At 34.5% G+C, this 8,232-nt stretch overlaps 1 annotated feature.

Moving 5' to 3' along the window:
* Window positions 6,646-6,869: a silencer, noted in NCBI's record as "fragment chr13:90852143-90852366 (GRCh37/hg19 assembly coordinates)". NCBI's record gives its function as "represses an EF-1alpha promoter that drives an FKBP-Casp9 reporter gene in an ReSE screen in K562 erythroleukemia cells {active_cell/tissue: K562}" and the evidence as "EXISTENCE:reporter gene assay evidence [ECO:0000049][PMID:32094911]".

The following is an 8,232-nucleotide window of genomic DNA, read 5'->3' on the forward strand; positions in this document are numbered from 1 at the left end:
TGCCAGTACTTGTAGATAAAACTAAAAATCGCTCAAGAATTTAGAAGTTAGGACAGAAATTTGCTTTCCAAGTGAGGTCTATAATATCAGCAAAATAGTGTATTTGTATGATTGCTGGGCCACAGTGTAGAATTAAATACTAATAATTAAGTAACTCTTTTCTGTGAACCTCAGAGCACAAAATTCACATTCAAAACTCTTCAAATACCACATTCTACACATTTACTTTGGCTCACTCAAGATTGGCAAAATTTAGGTTCGTTATAGGTAATGTAGTAGCAATGAAACACAAATAGCTTTATCTAATTTTCTTTAATCTCATTAACTAATAAAAAAGAACACTCCTCATAAAAATCTTAATGAACGAAAGGGACATATTTTTGTAGTATATTTGGTAAATAATGAAGTGATCTGTCAAATATAAATAACTCTGCTCAAGTCTTCCTAAATCTCTTGCTATTGGTCTCATGACAAAATGCTTTTATTTTCATTGAGTGAATTTGTTGAGCTATCATATTATCTCTGTTGAGTTAAAATCTTTGGTTATTCAATTTTAAAAAGATAAACTATCCAAAGAATTAAGCACCTGTCCCCTAAAATGTCACAACAATAGGACAGAGAGTTCATACATACCCAAACCCAGTTTGGACTATTGTTCACATCTTACATTAGTATGGTACATTTGCCATAATTACTGAACTAATATTAATGTATTATTTAACTAACATTCATATTTTATTCAGATTTCATTAGTTTTTCCCCGCTATTCTTTTTCTTATTCAGGACCTCATCCAGAATATCATCTTACTTGTATTTATTATGCTCCTCTTTGCTGTGATAGTTTCTCAGACTTTTCTTGTTTCTGATGACCTTGATAGTTTTGAGTATTACCAGTTGAACTGCTTTAAAGAATGTCCCTCCATTGAAAATGGTCTGATGTTTTTCTCATGATTAGACTGGGGTTATGGGTTTGGGTGAGGAAAATCATACAAATAAAGTGCAATTTCATGGTACCATATAACGGAAACATACTTTCAATGTGGATTAGCACTTTTGTTGTTAACCTTCATCAACTGGCTAAAGTAGTGTTTTTCAGATTTCTTTAGTATAAAGTTACTCTTTCTCTCCACTTTCCATACTGGACTATTTGAAACAGTAACTATGTGCAGTTCATACTTAAGAGTACAGGGCAGGCCTGCTATAATTGCATATTTCCAATTTCTCTTTTCTGTCTCTTGTGACATTTCATTTATTTGTATGTAAAAAATCATTTAGCTCATTACTATTGTTAATTTAAAGTTATCTTTTAGATCACCTAGGAATAAGTTAACATAAAATAATGTTATCTTTATTTAATTCTTCTCTGATACTCTTTGTAATCCTTCTCTGATATTGTTTGATTCTTGCTTCAGAGCCAAGTTTCTAAACTGTATTATTTTATTTCTTCATAAATTCTTTAACCAATTTTGTAGTGTACATCTGCTTATGATGAATTACCTCAACTTTCAATTGTGAAGGTCTTTATTCTTTTGAAACTTTGAAAGATAATTTTGCTGGATATAGAAATTCAGGTTGGTGTTTTTATTCATTATTTTATTTCTGGCAAAACTTTAAAATTTGACTCCACTTTCCTTTCTCTTGCATGGTTTCTGACAAGAAGCATGCTGTAACTCTTATTCTTCCTCTTCTATAAATAAGGTAGTTTCCCATTCACTACCCCTAGCCTCTTTTGAGATTTTCTCTTTGCCTTTGGTTTTCTGAAGTTATGTCTTATTAATAACTATGTTTCTTTTGGTTTTTATTTTGCTGGCTGTTCTCTAAGCTTCCTGGATCTGTGGTTTTATGTCTGTCATTAATTTTTGAAAAGTTTTCATTAATTGTTACTTCAAATATGTCTTCATCTCATTTCTCTCTTTCTTTCTGCATTTTCCTCTCTCTCTTTCTCTCTTATTTTTTTTCTCATCTGGTATTCTAATTGCAGGTAGGCTACTGCTTTCAATATCATTTCTTTGATATTGTTTATTATTATTATTATTATTGTTTTTCATATTATTGTTTTTCATGTGGGAATGTTTCTATTTATGTATCTTCTGGCTCACTAATTCTTTCTTCAGACATGTCATGTCTACTGATGAGCTCATCAAAGTTTTTCTCATTTTTGCTACTGTTTTTAAGTTCCAGTTTTTTTTTTTTTTTTTTTTTTTGAGACAGAGTTTCACTCTATCACACAGGCTGGGGTGCAGTGGCAAATTCTTGGCTCACTGCAACCTCCACCTCCCAGGTTCAAGTGATTCTCCTGCCTCAGCCTCCCCAGTAGCTGGGACTACAGGCGTGTGCCACCATGTCCAGCTATTTTTTGTATTTTTAGTAGAGATGGGGTTTCACCATGTTGACCAGGCTGGTCTTGAACTCCTGACCTCGGGTGATCCACCCACCTCAGCATCCCAAAGTGCTAGGATTACAGGCATGATCCACTGTGCCTGGCTGAGTTCTAGGACTTTATCTATTCATTTATTAGAATTTCTATCTCTCTGCTCACATCATCCATCTGTTTTCTCTCATTACTTTTTGTCCCATTATTTCTTTTAACATGGTAATTACAGTTATTCTAAATTATCCCTCTTATAATTTCAACATCTGTTTATTATTGAGTCTGGTTGTCAGGGGTGCTTTTCTCTTCAGATTATATTTTTTCTTGTCTTTTACCATGCTTTGCAATTTTTTCCTAAAAGCTGGACATGATGTATTGGGTAATGGGAACTGACATAAACAGGCATTTAGCATGAAATTTTATGCTAATCTGGGTAGGAGCTGGGTTGGGTTAAAAGTCTTTTTTTGTAGCTGTAGGTGCTAAAATCTACAAATTTCTCTAGTGTCCTTGTTGTTGTCTCCCTCTTGACATTGGGTTTTCTAATCGTTTTTCTCAGACAGAGTCTGTGTCTTCTTTCTCTTTTACCTATAATCCACTGTTATTATATTGGTGTCTTACTCTAGTTGGCTATAAGGTGTGTAAGGGGAGGATGCTCTATAATCATAAGAATAAATCTCAGTATTTTGATGAGCCTTCACAAGTGTTTCTCTGGAGATATAATTTCCTGCCTTATCCCTGATGCCTCTTTCATTTCCTGGCTGCAGTGTTCCCAATTTATTTCATGTAAGTTCTTCCCCATTGTGACTTTTTTCCCCAATGTCTTTCAAAAATGTCTGCAAAATGCTATTTACTTAACAAAAAATAATACAAAATAATGAAGAGACCCAGAACCACAATATAAATGGTAATTCCTGTTAAAGAGCTGCTTCAATTTTTGATAAATGATTTTCACCATCCTTAAGAATTCCAAGCCAAGGTAGCACAATAGAAATAATGTCTCTGAAAGTCCCAGTTCTGTTCTGTCAATTAGCAGGTTTGTATGAACTATTAAACATTATGGCACATTGCTATGGGTATTTTTCTAACAATAAGTCATATTTCAATGGATGTACCACATTCTTAAATTATTTTTCTTACCGTTGCACAGAAACCTGCACTCAAGCAGGGCTTTCAAATGAACAACCAGATCCAATACTGCAATTTCTTATTTCACTGGATTAAAATTATCAGGCACTTTTAAGATACCTATGTTTTGTAATATTTATAATGTGACTAAATTTCAAATATCAAATAAAAATGTAACAATTCTAAAAGAGGACAAAATATCATGACTATTTTATTCATAATTACATTATCTCCAACATTTTTCAATTATTGATACATCAGTGAATTAGCCAAAAACATATGATTAAAGAATACATTTTAAATTGCAGTGCAAACAACCTATAATACAGATACACAAGGGAGTGAGATCAATTATATCACAAGGAGTAAGTTCTACATGAGAAGGATATTGAGATTTTATATGCCTTATTTAAAAGAGGGGGAATTGTTTTGTAAAAAGGTACTTGGATCTTCCAAAGTCAATTCAGAAAGATAGCATCACCCCATAACATTCTTAACCACTTCTAGTTGATACAGTGGTTAACATATCAAACAGAGTGCTATATCATTTTCATCCCATTTGGAAATTTCTCTTTTATATAGATTATCAGGATATCTGGGGTTTTATCAAATCTGAATGTTTATCCATAACCCACTCATTAAATAACTAGGTTTTATTTCTGGGCTGGGGTTTTAAGGTAAGCAATCTTTTTTTAAATTTTCTTTTCTATTCAGTCTTTCAAATAGCCTGTCTTCAGCTGTCACTTCAGGATATGTTTTAGTCTTATTTTATAAGTGGTCAGTCAATCATGGTGGTCCAATTCAGCAACCACTCTTAATGTAGGGATAAAGCATGAAGTGCCCAATGTACGGTTAAACCAGCAGCAGCAGTTGTGATATCAGTAGATTTTGATGCAGTTTTGTCAGAAGCTGATGTCACTCTTTAATCACAGAGTTTGGAAGGCTGTGCAATACTTCCCTGTGAGATGGTAGGTTTTTGTCAGTTCGTTGCAACCACTTTGAAAATCAGGCTGCTATATAGCCTTGCGTGACTTTGCTGATAAGACTGTGTCAGCTCACCTGTTTTCAACTTTCCTTCTGCATTTTTCTGAGAGGCTAACAGCATGAGTAAAAGCAAAACCAGTAGTTCCATTCTCTTTCATTCTAGCCAAGTATAAGGTCTCTGGGCTCCTCTGTTTGGCAAGTTTTCACTGTAGCCTCCATAAAAGGCATTTGACCAAATGAGTCACACCAGTAGTAACATCACTCTCATCAACCCAGGAACAGCAGTATTTCTGGTCAAGCCCATTACAGGTACAATGAGGGGAAAAGGTATTTTTTTCTTTTGGCAAGAAGTTTAACCTCACACAAACCTTCATTTGCCCCCAACAAGAAAGAGATTTATCCCCCGTCTAATGTCATAGGGTTTTGCCAACAGACTATAATTTGTTTGGCCCCTTCATCCAAGCATCAAGATCTTCATTTTACAGTCTAGTTAAGATTTACCAATTAAAGGTCATAATTTAGTGCAAGGACAAATGTGTCTGAAAAGGTGTTACTGACCCTTTATGTTTACAGTGCAGTCCTATAAACCTTGATTACCCTATTTAACATAGAAAAGAGACAAATTGATTCATCTGCGACCACTAGGACTTGAACTATCTAATAGGTGTTAATGTCTCTTGTATCCCTTAACCAATTAGATTTTTCTTTTGGCTAATTAATTTTTATAGAACCCATAAAATCTTCTTACTCTGGGGATTGTAAACAAGTTTATATCAAAAGATGTTAGAACACGGGATAAAATCAAGGCATGTTGAGTTGGGCTTATATATCCCCAGTTATTTCTTATTCACAGTGTATTCATTTACGTAATTGGATAAAATATATATGGTTAAAATATTTCTGTACCAAGGTAAAATTTCCCTTACATTGACCATAACCACTCCCATCTGGGGTACTCATTAATTAATCGATTTGTCTGAAGGATGCATACTTTCCCATTCTGAGGATCCTGTAATGTTCTTTCTTATAAGCTGAACATCTGATGTTTTCATCTAGTGGAAGGTCAATTTGCAACTTGCTTGATGAAGTAAATGTTGTATAGGACATCAAAACAATCCCAAACATCATTATAAAATAGGTTTATCTGACAAAAAATAATAACTAAACTAAACAAAAACAATATGTTGAAGAGAACCATAGCATATCTGGGGGTTCTCATTAAAGAACAATTTTTCTTCTCTCTCTAGTAAAGACATGTCAACTTCCCTAAGTATTGTAAACAGAGTTAATGTAGGGGAGTAAATACACCTAAATGTCCCAGCTGGGTTCCTTCTATTGCCTGTAGTCTCTGCACTATTAGAAATTATATCACATTGTTATGAGGATTTGTATAATAATAATTCAGGGTTAAACAGGTAAGTTGAGTTCTTATTCTATTTTTTTTTTTTTTTACCATTACGCAGCTATGCATCCACACTGCAGCTCTATGGCCTCAGAAGACTAACACGGATATTGTGTTAGTTGTTATATGTTATATATAAGTGTTATATATAAGTGTTTTATATATATATATATATATAACTGTTATAACAATTGTTATATGGCCAAGGTCTTGTTGCTGTGACATCCCAAATGAGGGATAGGTGAGGGGCAGGTAAAGGATGCTGCCTATGCAGCTGGCTTGTGCAGCAAATGGAGAGTGTTGCCATTCCCTGAGGTAAGACACCTAAACTTAGTATAATTGGAGACGAAAATGACATGGCAAGTTTTGTATATGTTAGATTTTGAAGTGAAATTAGCAAAGATAAATATTCAGTAGGTAAGCTGGTGTTCACTATTTAAGAGATAGGAATATATGCATACTAGTTGAAACTGTAGAAATGAATGAAGTTCCACAGGAAGATTAAGTAGAGTAAGAATAGAATGTCTTGTTTTTTTAACTTAGGGTAGCTTTTCTTAACCAGGTCCTGTGAGACAAGTACATCTCAAGGTTTAAGACTGTCACCATATACAATGAACTAAAGTCCTATGTAACTAAAATGGTATTAGCTAAGTATCAACTTTGTGAGAATTTAGAAAATATTGACACAAATAATTTAGAATTAATGTCATGACAACTTACATGAAATATAAAGAAAACCCTTCAATGATGTAATTCTAAATATCACTGCCTATTTTGCTATGAATTTGTAGATTTTACTTCTATGTATATTTAATTAATTAATTAATTTGTTTGTTTGAAACAGAGTTTCACTCTTGTTGCCCACGCTGGAGTGCAATGGCTCCATCTCGGCCCACTGCAACCTCTGCCTCCCAGGTTCAAGTGATTCTCCTGCCTCAGCCTCCCTAGTAGCTGGGACTACAGACACCCGCCACCACGTCCAGCTATTTTTTTGTATTTTTAGTAGAGACTGGGTTTCACCATGTTGGCCAGGCTGGTCTCAAACTCCTGACCTCAGAGGATCCACCCGCCTCGGCCTCCCAAAATGCTGAGATTACAGGCGTGAGCCACTGCACCCTGCCTCTATGTATATTTTAAACCCCACGGTACACTTTTTGTCTCAAACATGCAAATGTCTTTTAAATAAATTAGGAGAACAAATGGTATTTTATATTTGTGCATATTTACTGTCACTAGCGTCCTTTAATATTTACCCTACATTCAAATGTCCATCAGGTTCCATTTCATTCATCTTAAAAACCTCCCTAGAGCATTTGTTTTAGTGAAGGTCAACTGGCTTCAAATCCTCACAGATGTGATCTATCTGAAAATGCCTTTATTTACTTGCATTTTCTAAGGATATTTTCATTAAATATACGATCCTGAGTTTGTCCTCTCATTGTTCAGCACTTTGCGCTTTTTCATTAACCTCTCAAAAGTAAACCATCATTCATTTAGTTGCTTTCCTACGTATAATACGTCTTTTTTAGCCCTCTTCAGGCATTTTCAAAAATTTTCTTATTATTTTATGTTCGGCATTCAGTTATAACGTGTCTAGGTATGGCATTATTTGTATTTAAAATGCTTACAGTTAATCCATCTTGGAATTAGAGCTTTGATGTTTTAATTTTAAATTTTGGAACATTTTGACTTTGCTTCATTAAATATTTGTCTCCCTTTGCCTCTGTCTCTGTCCCTCTCTCTTTATTCCCCCAACTCCCTTTCTTTCCTTACTGAGTATCAGTGATGCTCTGTTTCTTTATCTTTGACTATTTTCTCTCATTCCTGCCAGTCAGACAATTCCTACCAATATATCTAGAAGTTTATTGACTCTTATTTCTGTTATTTCCAATCTGCTGTTATGTTTATACAGTAAATTTTAAATATCAGATATTATATGTATGTTCCATCTGGTTCTTTTATATCTTATTAATTAATGTTTTTATTTTGTCTAAAACAAAGTTACTGGTAGACCTTTTTAACCCTTTCAGTGTGATTTTGATTTTTGTTGTAACTTGCTTATTTTTGTTATGTCTTTAGTCAATTTTCTTATCCAAGGGTGTAAGTCTTTACTGCTAAGGCATGACCTTTCTGAGGTTTCTGCTGAATGTGCAATGTACACAGTGAGGTCTCTCTAACCAGGCTGGGACAGGATCCCTGCACCTCCCAGGCCTGCATGATCTCTGACACCTCTGCTTGGCTCCCAGTCCCTCAGAAATAACTCATCCAAAAGCCCCATGAACATTCACCCTGCCTGCGTGCAGCTAATTCCTCAGCCAAGAACAAATGGTAACCCCTGCTTACCCTCTGG

The sequence above is a fragment of the Homo sapiens genome, chromosome 13, assembly GCF_000001405.40.
Source record: "Homo sapiens chromosome 13, GRCh38.p14 Primary Assembly".
NCBI lineage: Eukaryota > Metazoa > Chordata > Mammalia > Primates > Hominidae > Homo > Homo sapiens.